The sequence below is a fragment of the Homo sapiens genome, chromosome 2, assembly GCF_000001405.40.
Source record: "Homo sapiens chromosome 2, GRCh38.p14 Primary Assembly".
Lineage (NCBI taxonomy): Eukaryota > Metazoa > Chordata > Mammalia > Primates > Hominidae > Homo > Homo sapiens.
In genome coordinates this window covers 5,960,339-5,981,613 of record NC_000002.12, presented here as the reverse complement: position 1 = coordinate 5,981,613, position 21,275 = coordinate 5,960,339, and the positions used below count along the sequence as shown (strand labels likewise).

The following is a 21,275-nucleotide window of genomic DNA, read 5'->3' as shown; positions in this document are numbered from 1 at the left end:
TCATGAAAAATCTCTCCGGGGATCACAGGATGCTGCCGGCAGCTGGGGAGGCTCTTGCTGGGGCCGACGGGAGCCTGTGTGGCAGGGTGGCTTCTCCCTCCACCCCCTTCAGCCCTTCCAGCACCCTCGGTGCCTGCCCTCTGGATCCTTAACAAAGAAGAACCCTGCCTCCTTCAGCGCCTGAAGCCGGGGGAGGTGCAGGTTGAGCTGGGAAGAAATGGGGAGCAGGGTCCGGGCTGTTTCAGACCTTCATGGAGGACCCAGGGAAAGAAGAGCCCCCAGAGGGATTCGTGGACACAGCGTGACCTGCGGGCCCCTGGGCTGCGCCTGCCGTCCATCATGTCAGGAGGAGGAGAAGGAGAGCACGAGGCGTGTGTGTGTGTGTGTGTGTGTGTGTGTGTGTGTGTGTGTGTGTGTGTTTAAAGAATGTTAATTCATACTGAGATCCTAGGGAATATTTTCCTAACTAGGACAGACTTGGGAATAAATAACGTGCTTATATAGCTGGGTCTCCCCTCCCCTTCCTTTCTCCCACTCACTTAACACACACACACGTGTGCGCACATAGACACACGCACACACGTGCACACACATTGCTAGTTACTAAAGCTAGCCTGTGGGGCAAGGAAAAGCTGACCTTGAGAAATGCAGTTTTCAATTCCAGCTGAAGCCCACGTGAGGAGCCTGTGCCTGGCACTCCAGACAGACTGCATACGTTAGGTGGGCCACAGGCAGGCACATCCCACACGTGGACTTGGGCGAGGTGCCCTAATGTGGCAGCTGAGGAGCAATAGAGGGACCCAGGTGGAACCATTTCCACAGGCCTGGAGTGTGCACTGCAAGTCTCCAGCCTTGACAAAGATCATGGGTGTGCTGAGGTTTCTCATCCACCCGAGCCTCTGTCTACACACACAGAGTGCCTGGGAGCTGAGAAGTGTGTTTATTCTGCTCCTTTCCTCCCTCATAAATGACTGCTACCAGCACTTGGAGGAAAAGCCCAAGCTGTGTCTGAGTGAATGGAAGCAGAGTGGGCAGGCCGGCCTCACTAGCCAAGTCCAAGCCGCGACCGCGTGTGTAAGTGATTTCCATGATCTCATTCCTTAACCCTTTTTGAGATGATCCTTCTCTTCCCGAGTGCACTTAGGGAAGGCAGGTAAAATCATCTGCTTTCCTGTCTCTTTCCTTGATCTGGCTCTATCAGAGAAAGAAAGAACTGTTAGGACGCATCCAAGAGAAAAGATACCTGATCAAATTATTTCAATGAAAGAAATCCAGTTATAAGATATAAATATATACATTCGAATTCTATTATAAACATGAAAGTGTCTGTGTGGGTGCGTATCTGTAGAAAATACAAGAAGAATACATATCAACACGGAAGCAGTAATACCTCTTGGTAGTGTGATAATTATATTTGATTTTTCATACTTTTTAATTTTTTCTCAAGCAAGATATGAGTTATTATTGCTTCAACAATCAGAAAACAATTAGCTTAAAGAAACAGACAATCTGAACAGTTACCATACACATTAGCAAAGACACTGTTTAAAGTTCCACTCAAGTACCCCAGTGTTCTCAGCAGGCTTTCTATCTTCTCATTGTATTTATTCCAGTTTTCATTTTAACTCAACCCAGTGTCTTTTCTGGGCTGTGAAGATACTCGTGGTGTAAACTGCTAGTGATTCTCAGTGACTGCACTTTGCTTATGTCTTATTATATAGGAATATATGACCTCAATATTTAGCTGGGCATGTGGTCATCAGAGAGTGCAACGCTTTCCAGCACTTTTGCAGATGGGTGTGGCTTAGTGACTAAGTCCCAGCCCATCAAATATGAGCTGAGGTGATGTGTGCAACTTTAGTGTTATCAGAAGAGGCAGATCACCCAGACCTTTCCTTCTTCTCTTCTTTATGTCTGAAATCCAGCCAAAGCAGAAAGCCATTAATAACAGGACTACACTGCAACTCCATAGCTACCTGCAGGCTGACTTGCTGGAGAGCTCTGACTGAGGCTGGATGGGGAGGGGCTGCCACCCAGGACCATTCTCTCCCCAAGTTTGGCATCCAGGGGACAACTGGGTCTCTTTGTCAGCTACTTCTGGGCCTTGGGGCCAGATAGACAAACGAGTCTCCTACAAAGTCCAAGGGGCTCCTCTCTGTAACACGTTTTGAGTTTTTTGAAATTGCCCAAGAATTCCCTCACTAATAGATTACTACTTAGGAATCTTCATTTTTGGTTCTGTGTGCCATAACATACCCCGTTCTCTTTTCCCATTATTATCCTCCCCAAAACAACCACTGCCAGCCCCCTTATAAATTGTGGGAAGTGGGTGAATGTTCCCCTTTCCAAAGCTCTTGGAGCTTGTCTCTGAAATGCTTTCCTACTCAATGTCAGGAAATCAGATGTCGGTATTTACCTCAGCCTGGAATCTCCTTCCCAAGCCACCCTCCTGGGTGTGCCCTGGGCCAACACAATGATTCAGGTTACAAGGTCTGCAATAAGCTTCTGGTAACAGGACATTGTTCTGCGGTAACTGGCTATCTGGGACCTGTTAAAGGATACCCATGCTTGTTTCTCTGGAAGATTCCAGAGCTCTTCACTTCCATAATGGGTCCCCACCCAAGACTAGAAAAGCCAAGTGAAATCTCCTATCTGAATCTCTTGCTTTTGCTCTTGATGAAGAGCCATCCTTTTTTCCTCCTCCTCTCCCTTCCGTATCACCACTGTTTAGGAATATCTATAAGGAGTTCAAATCCAGTTATGCAAACCTTTGGGTTGAGGATGTCCCAGCTTTGCCCTGGCCACACCCATTCTAGGGAGGCCAAGCCATGCCTCCAGCTTCACATCTCACTGTCCAGAGCCTCCACATCCATGTCACATTTCTGCTCTGAGAACAATGCAGAAATACCACCCCTCCCCAGAGGGATTTAGGTAGGTGGCTTGCACCATCTGTCATCATCAACATGATCCAAAACCTGTTTTAAGTCATTAAAAATTTCTCTGAGTCATGGTCGTCAAAGATTCTCTTTGAGTACACAAATGTCCTAAATGTGGAGCCCTGTGACACACCATCATGTGACATTTTCTGTGGCCTCAGATACTGACCACTGATGCAACTTCCCAGTAGGATGTCTCAGTTAAGGCTCAAATCTCTATCCTCAGCCCAGGCCTCTCAGTTGTGGAAAACACCTTGGATTTGGGTGAATTAGTCATTTCCACAAAGGCAGTGGCTTCATTCCCGTAGCCACTATGGATCTCGTGCCTTGGGTGACAAGTCCTCATTCCTTGTCCCCAGGCATTCTGGCAACGTGGACCCCAGTGCCATTCATCTCCACTCTGGATGAAAGCTGTGGTTTCTTAGAAGTTCACATGTGGAAATGGGGCCTCAGTATCAGCCTCCACATCCTTCCTTCTTCAGGAAAATTCATCTTATGGGCAAATTCCAAATAACTTCAGAATCCACCAGAAGAATTATGCTTGGCCATGGTTACTCCCAGTTGAATAAAATCAGATCCTAATTTGTCTTCAACCTCCTGGCTGCAAATTTATCTCAATCATGTTTTCAGCCATTCCTCCTGGACTTGAACACAATTCCCAAAGATTCCGTAGAGTCCAAACATCAAAGGAAATGTTCTCTGTTCTTCAGCTCCAACTGTTCCCACAGAAGTACTCTCCATCCCTTTTAGATAAGCTGACTGAGCTGTTTGGACACAGGGACATGTCATCACTGTCCCCAAAGCCGTGACACTCAGTGTCCAGGGTCCTCACATTTTTCATGACCTCTATGTGCATGGGGCTGTCTTATCCCAGAGACTTGGGGTACAACCTCCACAACACCATCAACAACAAGAACATCCTCTGCATCCCCATGCCCTAGCTGTCCTTATCTCTCATCATGGAAAACTTCACACCATGACTTCTCCCTCTACTGGCAGTGTCCAGCATGCTTCCTCTCAGAAAACCCAGGCTTTCACAGATAATGGTTTGCCTTGTCTCCTAGTGGCCTAGACACTACTGCTTTTGGTCCTATCACCCAAAAACGTGAGCAAAATCTACAAAGGCAAGAGAGCACACACTCTTGGCCACAAAAGAGGGAGAAAAACATAACAGTGTCTCAGGATCTTGTTTTTCCCATGTGGTTATTAGCATTGCATCTGTATTTAGTCCATACGCTCTTGGTAAAAGAGCCTATGTTTGCTCTACTTTAACTCTGTTAACAGAAGTACAAATGTTGAAGAATGTGGCATCCATGAGTGCAGGAGGCCAGTGGGGGTGTGAGACGGTTGGGACTGGGTTGGTTATCTCTTGTCTATTTTTCACGTGAGAGTAATTTACATGATATTGGTTTGTGTTTTGACTTCTCAGGAGCTATCTTCTATCTGGAGTCTCATATTAGGTGAGATTGCTGCATGAAGGCAATACTTCTTTACAGAGTTTGCTGGCCACTGGTGAGCTAGACTACTTCTCTTCCTTTAGCTAGGATTGCATTTCTATTATTTTCAGAAATCAACAAAGTTTAAGACAGTAAGATCTCAGCATATAATCTCAATTCTTGTCATCAAATTATCTTACATCACTTATAAGATTCACCTCAATATTGTATCTAAATTTTCTCCTCTGAAAGCAGATGCCTTTTCTGCACAACAAAATGTTGACCTAGGCCTTACCTTGATAAAAGCTACCTCAAGCACCCTGAGGGCATTAGGAGGTGCAATAGGGACAATAAAGCTTGCTAATGTGATTGTGGGTGGCCTGGCAACTGGAGTGATGATGGGGAAAGCCTGGAAATCATTCCCTTCTGAGACCAGACAGCCTAAGCCGAAACCAGAGAAATGCATCACATACAAAGGAGGCAGCAGAGCTGTCTTCATAAATCGCAGCCTGTAGGCCTTTTAATGTGTCAGCGTAACCCGCCGTTAACGATATTTAATTGCTATCTACAGTAAGTTCCGTAGATCATTACCATACCAGTCATTTTTCAAAGATCCTCGTTAGCACAGGACTAGTGAACACAATAAACGATGTGACAGGAGATGGCTAGAGAAATGCTGCAGAGAATGAGCTCATGTAAGTCAGCCAGCTCATAGAGGAAACCCCCTATCTTTCTACTGGCACCATAATAAAATCCACCATGCACACTGGGCTATTTCCACTGCAGTGCATAAGACAAGAGAAATGGGTCACTATTGTGCTCCTGCTGGTTTCCTCTCCACCAATGCAGCTTGTTCCCTCACATAGTAAGGTGATGTCCACAATGCCTGGCTAGAACAGAAAAGATCTGACAACACCGATGTCCACACCTGAAGTGCCTGAAAATAGCACCTTCCTATGAACATTTAAGTTGGCAATCCATCCATTTGGGAGGTACATGTGTACTGTGAACCTACCCAGAACCAGGCACTTTGCTAAGGCATTGAGATTCAAGGTCAAGGGAGGCACAGTCCCCATGGACCTTGCAGCCGGGGACACAGCTAATGGACAGGAGACATTCATAGTCCAACTCACTTGCTTTATTTCAGTGACTTTATTTTCCATTTTGTTATTACCTTCTTTTTCAAGTCTCCTGTTGGAATTTGGATTATGTTACTTTATTTTTTCCTTTAAAATGCTTTTTGAATGATCAAAGGCCCATTTTAATCCCTCTATTGTCTGCAGCTCCTTAGAGGTGAATTCTCCTTTTACAGAGTCTGTTTGCCCTCAAGGTGATGAGTCTCCACAGGTGCTGGGGGCACACCTTCCTTAGGAATCATTCTCCCATGGAGTCTCAGAAATGCCTTGAGCTCTGCAGGCATCTTCACTGGAGCAATGATTTTTATGCTGGGCTTGAGACTTTTGGGTTGCAAGCTGTTCCACATCAGCTTTTACCTTAAATTCTTGCTCAGATTTTCCAAACAGCAAAGACAGTGTGAATGGAGGCCCCTTACACCAGCCACAGTTGGCGTTCTGACTCCTCTGTGTGACTCCTATCCCACACCAGGCCCAGTCCCAGCATTAGCTTTTGTGATGCATTCCTTGGTACAGAAGGCTAAGCATCGCTAATTTCTATTCAGAGACACAGGGACTCTACCCTTGTTCCTGGCTTTATAAAGCTGCTCAGTTCTAATGTGCACTGCACACAACAGCTGCCAGGGCCACAAACACCCCCAAGCAGACGTTAGGCTCTCAACCCCTAAGATACAGTTTTCCTCTCAATAGCTCATAAGACTCTGCCCTCTGACGTGAGAAAATAGAATTCTGTTGTGCTTTTTAAGTATGCCTATGGCATCTTTTAAAATATACCATATATGATCCAGTATTTCTTTGTGTTTGGAGTGTGAATCTGCAGGTGAAAGAGTGTGTTCTACACGTGCCCGATCCATCCTCATTACACAAATTCACCCTCTACTTTAAAACAGGGAATTTGGGCCTTTGACAGGAAAGAAGCCGGACAGTCATGGGGCCAAACTGGAATCAAATGTAAATATTTAATTTCCTCCTGTTAAAAGCAGAGTGGACCCACAGTCCCTCCCAAAGTAAAATGCACAATAATGTGTCAAGAGCCCTGGACTTATTGCTTCTCGGACGTTAGCAAAGATCAAGCGCAGACCACTGGCTTTGGGGTCTGATACCCCAGGAGAGTCCCGGTTTCGTGCTCATGTGTTATGTGACCCTTGACCCCTCGTTCAATTCTCACGTGCTTCACTCTCCTAAGCCATGCAAAAGGGACATAAGGATATCTCCTGAAAGCAGAGTCGGCTGGAAGGCTGGAAGGCTTATGTGAAGCAGTTGCATATCACTTAGCACTTAGAATGGGCAAATAAAAAATGGTTTAGCTTCTCCTTTGTGGGAACAGAGACTGGGATGGTTTGTATCCTGGCTCTCCTGAAACTGCGCTGCCGAGCTGGGCCCAATCTCTAGTTCAGCTCGCTTCAGAAAGCCAAAGGCAGAAGGCTGCAGGACCAGAGATTGAGCCTGGCCACACAGCCCCTTCTTCCTGATGCCACATGGCTGGTGATCCTGGTCACAGCCTGCCTGAGCTGGTGGAACACAGCTTTGTCGGACTGTTGAAGATAACCCTACAGAAAAATCACCTGGTGAAGGGCAAATGCGCATGTTTTGTCATAAGACCAACTGGGTTTCCTAAATCAGCCAAGCCGTTTATCCTGTGGTCTTGGCAACAGGCTGACCTTCCTTTTACAGAGGAGATGGTGATGCCTGGTCCCAGAGGAGCGCTGTGAGCACCCAGGCATGGATTACAGTGCTTAGCACAAAGTAACATTAAATGTGAATCTCTCTTCTAAAACTATGTTACAAAAAGCAGTAATTCATTCCAAGCAAGACTGTCAGTTTAGGTGAATCAAGTAATCATAATTTCTCTAAAACCTTTTTTCTACTGTAAAAGCTTTAATTTTTGTCTTTATTTTTATTGATACATCTTAGATGTGCATATTTTGGGAGTACATATGATAATTCAACACATTCATATAATCAAATCAGCATAATTGGGATATTTGTCACCTTAAATATTGATCTTTTCTTGATGCTATGAGCATTAGGTTAATGGGTACAAATGTACAGTTAGATAAAAAGAATAAGACCTGGTCTTCAATACATCATGGTGGCTATAGTTAACATTAACCATTGTACATTTCAAAATGCTAGAAGAGAATAATTCCAACACGTTTTTTGTTTGCTTACTTTTTTCTGAATTCTAATAGACTGATACATCAGTCCCTGCTGTAGCGAAAATAATGACTTCCTCAAAATGCACTTCAAGAATGTGACCTCAATGGATGTAACAGAAAGAACCTGCTCTTGGTGTTTGGGAAAGAAAAGGTGTTAGGCCCGCCACAATTCCTTCTCCTCCCAGGTGATTCAGAGTCCTGGAGGACAGAATACCTTGGGAACTTGAGTGAACTCCTTTCACCAGCCCAGCCTTGACTCAGATTCCAGCTCATATAGCTCACAAGCTCCACTGCCCAGGCCAAACCCCTCAAATGCTTAGGTTTTGTTTGTTTATTTGAAAGAGTTTTGCTCTTGTTGCCCAGGCTGGAGTGCAATGGCGCAATCTTGGCTCACTGCAACCTCCGCCTCCTGGGTTCAAGCGATTCTCCTGCATTAGCCTCCCGGGTAGCTGAGATTACAAGTACCCACCACCACGCCCGGCTAATTTTTTGTGTGTTTTTAGTAGAGACGGGGTCTCACCATGGTGGCCAGGCTGGTCTCAAACTCCTGACCTCAGGTGATCCGCCTGCCTCGGCCTCCCAAAGTGTTGGGATTACAGGCGTGAGCCACCACGCTCGGTCTAATGGTCAGGTTTTTATTCCTGTATATGTCAAGTAAGGACAATAAGAATTACTTCAAAGTGTTGTTAGGAGCTAATGCATGTAAAGCATTTATAAGAATTTTTGGCACCCAGCAGATGCTCAGAAACTTTTAGCTCATAATATTAGCATTGCTATAAAAATAACATTAATAAAAACCAACAACATTACTACCGTGAGAAAGTCATAATAATATACATCAAAGGATATTAATAATATACAATGACTTTCCCATATGCCATTTGTATGGCCAGAAAGCCAGACACAACTCCTGACTTCCTCCTGCGATTCAGACGACATTGCTTGGATGCAAACTTACCTGAAAGAACCACTTAATAGGTTTGTCACTCTAAGCAAATACTAGTGTTCAAGAAATGTTCTCAGGTGATCTAAAACACAGTCCAGAATACCTGCTTATGGCTTTTCAAATGTTTGCAATACAAGGCCTGCCTCTGTGCTCAGCTCCCAGAGAGAATTTTTCTAATAGATGCAGTTTTTCCTATTAGCAATGGAACATACACATTTGAAACCCAGCTGGCAGCCTCTATGATTGTAGGCTAAATCTCGTAAACAAAACTTAAATGTAAAGAAGTGTTTGTACTAGCTGCAAATGGGCTACTGGTTTGATGCCACAGGGGAAGTTGTTAGCAGGTGACATCAGAGGATGGATTAGTTAGGGTAACATTGTGAACCGAGAGACAGGAGAGATCTTGTCACTCACTGAAGGCGAGACTCTTCTAGAGAGTTGTTTTCTCCCCAAGATCTGCGCCTTTCCCCAGACTGAGTCAGGATCTCCGAGGTTAGGACCTAGCTACGTATATTTTGCACAAAGAACTCTGATTTGGACTCCAGGATTTAGAACCACAAATGTGCATACAGACCCAATTTTGTACATGGGAGGTGAGGTCAGATAGATAAAGTAACTTGCCAGCAGTCACTCATCTCACTAGTGTCACAGCTAGAATTAGAACCTATGGACTTTTGGTCCCTGGTTTGCAGCAGTTTCTGTAACACTAGTGGATATGAAACAACATGAAACACAAAGAACTGAGTCCTCGGAGGTGTGCAGCCCAGCAAAACTGAGCCTCTGGGTGGGAGTGGAGGGCAGCCAGAAAGAAAGGCCTGCGGTGGGTCTCTGCGTCTTAGATTTAGGAGGTAACCCCCACTGCCAGATGGTTTAGGTGATGGTGGCCGTGTGGGAGTGTGGTGATGGCTGGGGAAAATGACAAAGGCAATTCCCTTATGATAGCTGCTGAGGAGAGCAGTTGACACAACCCTGCTGCCATTTTTGACTCTTTCTTCACGAGTTGAGGATAAGGGGATATAACCGCAGCCACCAGCATGGAGATTCCCTAGGTTCTTAAACTTACAGGTTATTAAGGACATAAAGGGGTCTTCATGTATTCTAATGCCCTAATTTCACAGGAGAAGAGACAGTCTCAGGGAAGGCAGGTGGCTTGTTCAGTTTCAATCAGCCAGCAACTGGCAGAGCTGAAACTAGAACTCAGGTCTTAGGGCTCCAGTTCTGTAACTCATCCATCACACAAAATAATTATAATAGCATGTGCCCATGTGGCCTGGACATGGCCTGTAGTCAGTGCCATAGATAGGGATGGATGAGACCCACTGCCTCTAAGGCATGCAGTCCTATTGGCTCCTTCCTGCAGCAGTCCCTGGACCACCAGGTTCAGAAACACCTGGGTCTGTGCTCACATGCAAAGTACTGGGCCTGCCCCAGATTTACTGACTCAGAGCCCCTGCAGGTGAGGCCAGGGAAACTGGCTCAGCAGGTGATACCTGGGTACTCCAACATCTGAGAAACCCCGAGATAAGACCTCCAAGTTCTGGGATATTGTGGGGCTCTGTTGAACAACAGAAGGTGTAACGTACAAGAAAGACTGACCTAAAAGTGGCATCAATTATTTCATTGAAGAATCATCAATTGAGTGCCTACTGGCTTATAGTGCCCACTGTTCACTATGCTGGGAACAGAAGTCAACAAGCCAACCACATTCCAGCTGTGAAGGAATGCATCCGGACAGCCATAGAAGGCCCTGGATGCCTGGTGCCTGGGCTGGGGTATGTGCCAGGTAAAGAAGGGTGTGGATGTCAGAGAAGAACAACTCTTGACAGTGCCCAGGAAGGGCAGCTGCTCCTCGGAAGCAGGGCTCATGGAGCCATGTTGCTATGGATACAAACAGTGTCTGGTTACTTATGGGAACACTATTGTTAGGATGGTTCTGAAATGCTTTTGTCCTGAAGGTGGAGAACTCACCAGACCAAATTACTCTTGGCTAAGGTGGTTAACCCTCTACTCATACGATGTCCTGGGGCAACAGTGCAACCTCAAAAAATATTAAATAAGACCAAACTATGGAGACAATAAAAAGATCAGTGGTTGTCAGGGGCTGAGGGAGCAAGGGGATGAAGGAGTAAGTATCAGTGGAGCACAGAGGATTTTAGGGCAGTGAAACTCGTCTGTATGATACTAAAATGGTGGAGTCATGTCATTATACATTTGTCCAAATGCCTGGAATGTACAACACCAAGAGTGAACCCTGGCGTCAACTATGAACTCATTGTGATGATGATGTGTCAGTGTAGGATCATCAATTATAAAAAGTGTACCACTCTGGGAAGAAATGTTGATAATGAGGGAGACATGTTTGTTGGAGAGGCAGGAAGAATATGGAAAATCTCTGTGCCTTCCACTCAGTTTTGCTAATAATAAAACTAATAATAATAAATAATATGAAATTATTAAATAATATTAATATTAAAATAATATTATTATAAACTAATAATAATAAAACTAATTTTTTTCTGACATCTCTGTCGTCCAGGCTGGAGTGCAGTGGTGCAATCATGGCTTACTCAATCGCCATCTCTTAGGCTCAATGGATCCTCCCACTTCAGCCTCCGAAGTAGCTGGGACTACAGGCATGCGCCACCACACCTGGCTATTTTTTTTTTTAATTTTTTAGAGACAGAGTCTCACTATGTTGCCCAAGCTGATCTTGAAATCTTGGCCTCAAATGATCCTCCCACTTCAGTCCTCAAAGCGTTGAGATGATAGGCATGACCCATGGTGCCTGACCTTAAAAAGTCTTTCAAAAAAAAATTAAATATTTCTAAACTGTTTTTTAAAATAAGTTGTCTCACGGTGTATAAAAGTTATACTATCAAAAGTCAACTTTTGGTAAATGAAGGCTGCCAGATTGATTAGAAATTAGAAGGGGTTTGTCACTGAATCTGGTAAACTCAGAGCAACCACCACCTCTCTCTAAGCCTCTAACCATCTGGATTAGGAAGGAGAGAGGTGGGCTGCTAGAATCCCTTTCTTCAAGCTCTGATGTTCCAAGACAAGGATAATTGCTGATGAGAAAAAAAAAATCAGAATCTCACAGACTGCAAAAGCAGAACAGCACAGTTTCCACAAAACCATACAAATGTACTTTTTGGAACATAAGAGCCAAGCACATGCAACAGCTTAGGGTCCGTAACTCAGCATATGTAAAGTTCGTAAATTAATGTAATAGGAGGCAGGGTAACATCTGTTCTGTAGTACCCAACAGAGGGGATTTGGATATTTGAGAAGAGGCTCTGCACATAGTAAAGTCAGCCTAGGAACATGTGAGCAGTATTTACAGTGAAAAGGTCCCCATCTCTAACTATACACATCTGCTCCAAGACAGCTGAGGCTGGCGGTGCAGACCCCACTGAAGGGAAAGCCCCTTCCGAGGAAGTGGCCTGCTAACAAATCAAAATGGAGCCATCTGCCCTTCCCACTGCATGCGCTCCACCAGCCACCTATTCGTGCTCACCAGCTGGCAGCCTGCCCTGGCCCCGGCATGTGCCTGCCCCCAGTGGGCAGGGCCATGACAAAGCCACTGCTGGTCACCATTAGTGGTCAAGTCTCATGGTGGGTTTATTGAAGAACGTTTGCTTAATTTTAGATCAAAGCAGTACTTTCTTCTCCCTCTGGAAAAAACAAAACACACAAATAGTATATTGGAGCAACGAAGAACATAATCAAGTTTATGTATGGGCCACTACGAAACTGAATAGTTACCTCCTACTTAAAAGGGTATCCTGGGCCACGGTGAAGCGGTCCTTTTATCCTGTGGTCTGCAGTGGAAATGGCAGCATTACTGGAGAAGAGCTGTAAAAACATGCACAGTGAGTTGCTGCCGCATCCTGATGGCCCAAGAGAGGGAAGGAGGAGGAGATGAGAAGGGTTGAATCGGTTCTCTGACATGCCAGAGAGATAAAGGGGTGTCTCCCAAAGCTCTGAGGGCTTTTAAAAACTGGATGTCCACTGATATTTCAAAACAGTGCTGGGTATCCATAATTACAAAGGCAGGTCACAGGGGTCCAGAGTTGAAATCTCTGCTTTTGGATGCCACAGATGAGCCTTCTCAGCAGGCTTGGCAAACATCTTCACAGCCACCATGACACGTGATAGGATTCGGGGACCACAAAAGGAAAGAGCTAAGTTTTGAGGCTGAAGACCAAATTGGTTAAAAATATGGTCACTCTCAGGGTCAGTAAGAGAGAATTAAGTAAAAAAAAAAAATCTTTGAATACAGGGAGCAAATCAGTAGATATAACATGGAATGGCACAGGCCATCAGGCAATCCTAAGGCAGAGGTAGATTCATCTTCAAGTGGCTTCCTCCAGCCTGACACCTGAAAAAGTGCAACTGCCTCTCATTTGCTCTTTCTCCTGTTTATCAAAAGGGAAGAAAAGAAGAAAAAGAAAATGTTAGTAGCTGAAAACATGTCAACACTATTCTGGGCATTTCCCTAAGTTATATAATTGAATATTCACAACTCCCTCTGATGTGTAGATATTAATATAATTATTTGCATTTTACCAATGAACTCTGGTAAAATGTAAGCTATGAAATACATCCAGAGATACTATGTGATGTGCTCAAAGACAAACAGCTAACAGGCAGCAAACCCAGGCTTCAAGCAAGTTCTATCTGAAACCTTTTTCCCTCTTCCCTAAGGCATATTAAATTGATGTTGGGCTTCCCATTTATCTTGTTTCATGAAAGAATGGTCTAAGCCCATGGCTTCTTCCCTATCCAAAAGAAAGTAAACAGTCATGAGACCAAGATCCCCTGGAATCTCCCCAAAGGTAAGTCAAAGCTCTGTGTATTCCAAGCTCCTTTGCTGCCAGGTCCCGGCGATCGTGGGATGGGGATTCTGTCTCTGAGCCAGGTCCCGGCGATCGTGGGATGGGGATTCTGTCTCTGAGCTCCACTTATTTAAATCTTACCAGATTAAAGGTCTGACTCCGGTAAACTCATCTCCATGACCTTGCCTTTTAAAAAATTGATTTTATTTTTTAGAACAGTTTTATATTTTAAAAATGTAGAGAAGGAGCTCCCCACTGTGGAAAAGTGGTAAGCAAGAGATCCCTAGTGGTTCACGTTCGCACCAAGGACTCTTTCAACCCTAGCCGTAGGTGAGCCCCTTGGCCCTCGTGGGCCCTTAGACTGGTATAGAAAGCTGCCTGCAGTCTATGTGATGGCATTGTCTCAGGGAGAGACTTTGCACTGGATGCCAAACACCCCCAAGACCCAAATAACTGCAACATGATGCCATTCTGAGAGCCCAGTCCACACCAGACTACATCCCGCCCTGGGGACCAACAGCACCTGCACCTCCACAAACCTTAAGCCCCACTGACATTCCCCTACATCCACCCAGAGGGCTGCAGCATTGCAATGCTGGCTGGACACAGTGGCGCATCTGGAGCAACAGCACTCTAACCCACACAGTGTCCTACACTCTGGAAAATGGGTGGTGCAGTGCAGCAGGAGGCTGCCTTGGGGACAAAGGAAGTGTGTACTCCCCAGAGTCTGAGAGCTGACTGCCAGGGACCACTGCCACTGACAGCAACACAATCTCCTCCAGTGGCAGGGTGATCACATACCTGAATGTACCTTTAGCTGACTTTGATACCAGCCCACCCACAAGCCATCCACCACAGGCATCTGTGCAAGGCACATGGGAGCCATGGGTTGGCCCACCACCACCACTGCCACTACCAATGCCATGCACACCACCCAGGGGCCCAAGGACTGGCACCCCCAACCCACCAATGACATCACTGGTGCCCAAGGACCAGCCCTCCTGGAGCCCCTGTCCACAGGAAAGTCTTGCCACAGCCTCCAATAACAACTGCCACCTAAGCCACTGAGGAATTCACAGACATCACTGATGTTGATCACAGTTAAAGAAATCATGCAGAGACCACACTTCTACACCCACCCAGAGTACAAGTGAAAGCACCCTGCCCAATGCACATTGTAGATGTATCTTTATAAAAAAAATTCCTTATGAAAGATTTTCATCCAATACGTAACATTGGACAAAATGACTGGTACACCAGTTGTGCAGATATCAACATAAAGACACAAAAAATAAAAAGCAAGAAAACATGACACCTCCAAAGAAACACAATAATTCTCCAGTAACAGATCTCAAAGAAAAGGAAATCTATGAAATGCCTAAAAATATCAAAATAATGATATTAAAAATTGGTAAAATAAAGAGAACATGGGTAAACACTACAAATAAATTGGAAAGAAAATTATAACTTGATTGAAAAGTTCAGCAGATATAGAAATCATTTAAAAACACACACACAAAAAGTCCTGGAACTGAAGAATACAATAAATGAAACATTTTAAAATACAATCAAGAGCATCAAGCACAATACACTGCATTAAGCAGAAGAAATTTTTGAACTTGAAGACAGGTCTCTTGAAATAACTCAGTCAGACAAAAAATAAAAATAAAAGAATAAGAAAGAATGAAAAGAGAATGCAAGACATATGGGACATCAAAAAGTGGCCAAATATTTAAATTTTGGGTGTTCCAGAATAAGAAATGGGTAAAGGCATAGAGAACTTACACACACACACACACACACACACAAAAGCAAAGCTATACTTTAAAAGTGAAAGGGAAATAAAGTTGTTCCTAAACAAGCAAAAAAAGATAACTCATTCCCACTAGACCAACCCTGCAAGAAATGCTTAGGGGAGTCCTACATCTGGAAGCAAAAACACAAAATCTGCTGATATGGTTTGGCTGTGCCCCACACCGACTACCCTATCTCATCTTGAATTGTAGCTCCCGTAATTCCCACATGTTGTGGGAGGGACCCGGTGGGAGATAATTGAATCGTGGGGGCAGTTTCTCCCATACTGCTCTTGTGGTAGTAAGTTTCACCAGATCTGATGGTTTTATAAGGTGTTTCCCCTCTCACTTGGCTCTCATTCTCTCTTGCCTGCCACCATGTAATACATACCTTTCGCCTTCTGCCAGGATTGTGAGGACTCCCCAGCCATGTAGAACTGTGAGTCCATTACACTTCTTTTTTTTTTTATTAATCACCCAGTTTCGAGTACGTCTTTATCAACAGTGTGAGAACAGACATACATTAAATTGGTACTGGGAGTGGGGCACTGCTGTAAAGATACTCAAAAATGTGGAAGAGACTTTGAAACTATGTAACAGTCAGAGCTTAGTACAATTTGGAGGGCTCAGAAGAAGACAGGGAAATGTGGGAAGGTTTGGAACTTCCTAGAGGCTTGTTGAATGGCTTTGACCAAAATGCCGATAGTGATATGGGACAATGAAATCCAGGCAGAGGGGGTCTCAGATGGAGAAGAGGAACTTGTTGGGAACTTGAGTAAAGGTGACTCTTGTTATGTTTCAGCAAAGAGACTGGTTGCATTTTGCCTCTGTCCTAGAGATCTATGGAACTTTGAACTTGAGGGAGATGATTTAGGGTATCTGACAGAAGAAATTTCTAAGCAGCAAAGCATTCAAGAGGTGACTCGGGTGCTGTTAAAAGGATTCAGTTTTAAAAAGAAAGCAGAGCATAGAAGTTTGGAAAATTTGCAGCCTAATGATGCAATGGAAAAGAAAAACCCATTTTCTGGGGAGAAATTCCAGCCTGCTACAGAAATTTGCATGGTAACAAGGAGCCAAATGTTAATCACCAATACAATGGGGAAAATGTCTCCAGGGCGTGTCAGAGACATTTGTGGCAGCCCCTCCCATCCAGGCCAAGGGCCCTGTGCTCTGTGCAGTCTAGGGACTTGATGCCCCGTGTCCCAGCTGCTCCAGCCATTGCTAAAAGGGGCCAAGATACAGCTCAGGCTGTGGCTTCAGAGGGTTCAAGCCCCAAGCCCTGGCAGATTCCACGTGGTGTTGAGCCTGTGAGTGCACAGAAGTCAAGAGCTGAGGTTTGGGAACCTCCACCAAGATTTCAGGAAACACCTGGGTGCCCAGGAAGAAGCTTGCTACAGGGGTGAGGCCCTCATAGAGAACCTCTGATAGGACAGTGCAGAAGGGAAATGTGGTGGGGGTTCAGAGCCCCCATACAGAGTCCCTAATGGAACACCACCTAGTGGAGCTATGAGAAGAGAGCCACTGTCTCCCAGACCTCAGAATGGTAGATCCACTGACAGCTTGCACTGTGCACCTGGAAAAGCCACAGACACTCAATACCAGCCTGTGAAAGCCACCAGGTAGGAGGCTGTACCCGGCAAAGCCACAGGGCAGAGCTGCTCAAGACCATTGAAACCCACCTCTTGCATCAGCGTGACCTGGATGTGAGATATGGAGTCAAAGGAGATCATTTTGGAGCTTTAAGATTTCACTGTCCTGCTGGATTTTGGACTTGGATGGGGCCTTAAGCTCCTTTGTTTTGGCCAATTTCTCCCAATTAGAATGGGAGTATTTATCCAATTTATGTACTTCCATTGTATCTAGGAAGTAACTAACTTACTTTTGATTTTACAGGCTCATAGGCAGAAGGGACTTTCTTTGTCTCAGATGAGACTTTAGACTGTGGACTTTTGAGTTCATGCTGAAATGAGTTAAGATTCCGGAAGACTTTTGGGAAGGCATGATTGGTTTTGAAATGTGAGGACAAGAGATTTGGGAGGGGCCAAGGGTGGAATGATATGGTGGTTTGGCTGTGTCCACACCCATATCTCATGTTGAATTGCAGCTCCCATAATTCCCACATGTTGTGGGAGGGACCTGGTGGAAGATAATTGAATCATGGGTGTGGTTTCCCCCATACTGTTCTAATGGTAGTGAAAAAGTCTCACAAGATCTGATAATTTTATAAGAGGTTTCCTCTTTCTCTTGGCTCTCATTTTTTCTTGCCTGCTGCAGTGTAAGGCATGCCTTTCACCTTCTACCATGATTGTGAGACATCCCCAGCCATGTGGAACTGTGAGTCCACTAAACCTCTTTTTCTTTATTATCTTTATAATTTACCCAGTTTCAGCTATTTCTTTATCAGCATAGTCAGAACAGACTAATACATCTGCCATTGTGAAAACACACAAAAATATGAATTCACTGCTAGAGCAGATACACAAATAAGAAAGAAAAAAAGCCAATCATTATCAGTACAAAAGAATACTAAATTATAAAGGTAAACAATAAAAAATGGAAGAAAGATGAAAAGGAATGGAAAACAATTGCAAAAATTAACAAAATAACAGAAGCAAGACCTCACCAACCAATAACAATACTGAATGCAAACAGTTTAAATTCCAAAGTTAAAAAAATACAGTTTCTGAATGGCGTGATTAAAAAAAGACCATGTTATATGCTGCCTACAATAAACCCAACTTCTTCTGTAGAGATGCACATAGACTGAAGGTGAGGGGATGGAAAAAAAAGTATTCTACACAAACACAAACCAAAAGTGTACAGAAGAAACAATAGTTATTTCAGACAAAATAGGCTTTAAGTCAAAAAACATAAAAAGAGACAAAGTAGGCCATGATATAATGATAAACTGATCAATTTGGCAAGAGGGTATAGCAATTATAAATGTATATGTGCCCAGCACTGGAGTACCCAAACATACAAAGCACATAGTATTATAATACAGCTAAAAAGGGAGAGAGAGAGACCTTAAAACAATAATAGATAGGGACTTTAATACCCACTTTCAGCATTAGACAGATTATTTAGACAGAAAATCAGCAAAGAAACATCAGATTTAACTTGCACTAGAGACAAAATAAACCTAACAGACACTTATAGAACAGTTTATCTAACAACTACAGAATATATATTATTCTCATTAGGACATGAAAAATTCTACAGCCTAGACCATATAGTAGGTAAAACAACAAGTTTCACAAATTTTTAGAAATCAAAGTAATATCAAGTATCTTCTCAGGGCTGTGCACAGTGGCTCATGCCTGTAATCCCAGCATTTCAGAAGACCTAGATGGGCAGATGGCTTGCAGTTCAGGAGTTTGAGACCAGCCTGGGGAACATGGTAAAATCTCTACAGAAATACAAAAATTAGCTGGGCATGGTAGCACATGCCTGCAGTCCCGAATACCTGGGGGGCTGAGGCTGGAGAATCGCATGAACCTGGGAAGGCAGAGGCTGCAGTGAGCTGAGATCGCAACACTGCACTCTAACCTGGGCAACAGAATGAGACCCTGTCTCAAAAAAAAAAAAAAAAGTATATTCTCAGACCACAATGGAATAAAACTAGAAATCAATAACAAGAGGATCTTGGGAAACTGAACAATCATGTAGAAATTAAACAAGATGCTCTTGAGTGAACGTTGACTCAATAGAAAATTTAAGAAATCAATCAAAAAATTTCCTAGAAACAAATAAAAATTGAAACAAGATTTACCACAATTCATGGGATATAAAAAAAAAGTAGTGCTAAAAGGCAAATTTATAGCAATAAATGCCTACATCAAAAAGGTGGAAAGATTTCATTATAAATAACGTAACCACACACCTCAAGGAACTTAAACAGCATGAACAAATCAAACCCAAAATTAGTAGAAGAAAAGAAATGATAAAAATCAGACAATAACTAAATGAATACAGACTAAAAAAAAAAAAAAAAAAAAAAGCAAATAATCAATAAAACGAAAAGTTTTTTTTTAAAGATAAATAAAACCAGAAACTGCAAGCTAGCTGAACCAAGGAATAAAGTCAAATAAATAAAATTAGAAACAAAAAAAGACATATTTACACTGATTCCACAGAAATACAAAGAATCATTAGAAACTATTATGAACAACTATATGCTAAAAATTTGGAAAACTTAGGGGAAATGGATAAATTCATACATACAACCTGCCAAAATTGAATCAAAAAGAAATAGAAAACCTGAACAGTCTAATACTGAGTAACAAGATTGAATCAGTGTATTGGTCCCTTTTCACAGTGCTGATAAAGACATACCCAAGACTGGGCAATTTACAAAGGAAAAAGATTTAATGGAGAACTCACAGTTCCACATGGCTGGGGAAGCCTCACAATCATGGCAGAAGGCAAGGAGGAGAAAGTTACATCTTATGTGGATGGCGGCAGGCAAAGAGAGAGCTTGTGCAGGGAAACTCCACCTTATAAAACCATCAGACCTCATGAGAATTATTCACTATCATAAGAACAGCATGGGAAAGACCCGCCCCCATGATTCAGTTATCTCCCACTGGGTACCTACCACAACATGTGGGAATTAGGGGAGCTACAAATGAGATTTGGATGGGGACACAGGGTCAAACCATATCAACTAGCAATGAAACATCCACCAACAAAGAAAAGCACAGGACCACATGGATTTTCTGCCGAATTCTACAAAACTTATAAAGAAGAACTAAAACCAGTTCTTCTCAGACTATTTCAAAAAAATAAAAATAAGGGAATTCTTCATAACTCATTCTATGAGGCCAGTATTACTGTGATGCCAAAACCAGACAAGGGCATAACCAAAAAAGAAAGCTATAAGTCAATATCCTTGAATACAGATACAACAAAATACTAGCAAACTAAACCCAACAACACATCAAAAGGAAAATATACGATGATGATTAGGGTTTATGCCAGGTTACAAAGCTGGTCAACACACACAAATCAATAAATGTGATACATCACATCAACAGAATGAAGGACAAAAAACATATAATTATCTTAATAGATGGAGGAAAAGCCTTTGATAGAATTCAACATGTCTCATGATAAAAAACTCTCAACAAATTAGTCATAAAAGGAACATGACATAGTAAAGGTCATATATGACAAAACCACAGCTAACATTATACTGAATAAAGAAAAGTTGAGTCTTTCCACTGAGAACTGGAACAAGACAATGATGTCCACTCTCACCACTCCTATTTAACACAGTAATGGGAGTCCTAAGCAAAGCAATCAGGCAAGAGAAAGAAATAAAAGGCATCCAAATTGGAAAAGAGCAAGTCAAATTGTCCTTCTTTGAGGTTGAGAGAAACTCCCAACTGAGATTCGTTATATGATATAAAGTGGGGAAGGACCTGGTTTGCCAGAACCAAGGGACGAATGGCAAGTGTGCTGCAGCCACAAATACAGGTGCTGGTCCCCCCAGCTTTGAAATCAGATTGGGAGAGGCATGGTCTGAAAGTCACAGTTTCCTTCCTGGCAGGAAAGGCTTATGGACTGGGGCTGTTTTGAGTTCTGAGCATAGACTGCCTGGAGTCTAGCTAGCTCTTGCTAGTGGAACACCATGAATGTAAGACCTGCTTTGCTAGGTGCATGGAAGCTGGGTAGGGCTTATTCCCACCTACTTCTCCCCACTTCCTGTGTGGACCCTTCTGTACAGCAGAGACAACTGCTCTCCCACCTGGAGCATTATCCCAGTGGCCAGGAAATTGCCCTCTGATTCCCGCTGCTTGCACCTTCATGTGGAGAGCCAGAATACAGACGTGCCTGACCCACTCCCCATCTGGTTTTACTTTTCCATCCATGCTGGTAGTGTAATACAAAGGACAGAAACTTTGGGGAGCTCTGTGGCCCCAGTCATTGCCTGAGACATCAGAGTACCTCCCCCGGGTAACATAAGGCAAGCACAAATACCACCACTATCACTACAGCTGATGCTCTTTTGTAAGTGCCACCTCCTGGCTGG

General features: G+C 43.6%; 1 long non-coding RNA gene and 1 other non-coding gene across 2 annotated transcripts in view, besides 3 other annotated features; both read right to left on the bottom strand.

Annotated features, from left to right (window-relative positions):
• Positions 129-875: an enhancer, noted in NCBI's record as "H3K27ac-H3K4me1 hESC enhancer chr2:6120871-6121617 (GRCh37/hg19 assembly coordinates)". NCBI's record gives its function as "activates a minimal SCP1, AML or CMV promoter by ChIP-STARR-seq in naive and primed H9 embryonic stem cells {active_cell/tissue: H9 hESC(naive and primed)}" and the evidence as "EXISTENCE:reporter gene assay evidence [ECO:0000049][PMID:30033119]".
• The window catches only part of SILC1 (sciatic injury induced lincRNA upregulator of SOX11), a 47,532-nt gene continuing 27,652 nt past the window's right edge, over positions 1,396-21,275 (bottom strand). The window contains exon 2 of the long non-coding RNA NR_026832.1: positions 1,396-13,028. This is a non-coding gene — a long non-coding RNA (sciatic injury induced lincRNA upregulator of SOX11). The remainder of the gene's footprint in view (positions 13,029-21,275) is intronic.
• Positions 5,351-6,004: an enhancer, noted in NCBI's record as "NANOG-H3K4me1 hESC enhancer chr2:6115742-6116395 (GRCh37/hg19 assembly coordinates)". NCBI's record gives its function as "activates a minimal SCP1, AML or CMV promoter by ChIP-STARR-seq in primed H9 embryonic stem cells {active_cell/tissue: H9 hESC(primed)}" and the evidence as "EXISTENCE:reporter gene assay evidence [ECO:0000049][PMID:30033119]".
• On the bottom strand, positions 6,882-6,952 carry MIR7158 (microRNA 7158). The gene has a single exon (NR_106980.1). It is a non-coding gene; the product is annotated as a microRNA 7158 (primary transcript).
• Positions 6,884-7,385: an enhancer, noted in NCBI's record as "H3K4me1 hESC enhancer chr2:6114361-6114862 (GRCh37/hg19 assembly coordinates)". NCBI's record gives its function as "activates a minimal SCP1, AML or CMV promoter by ChIP-STARR-seq in primed H9 embryonic stem cells {active_cell/tissue: H9 hESC(primed)}" and the evidence as "EXISTENCE:reporter gene assay evidence [ECO:0000049][PMID:30033119]".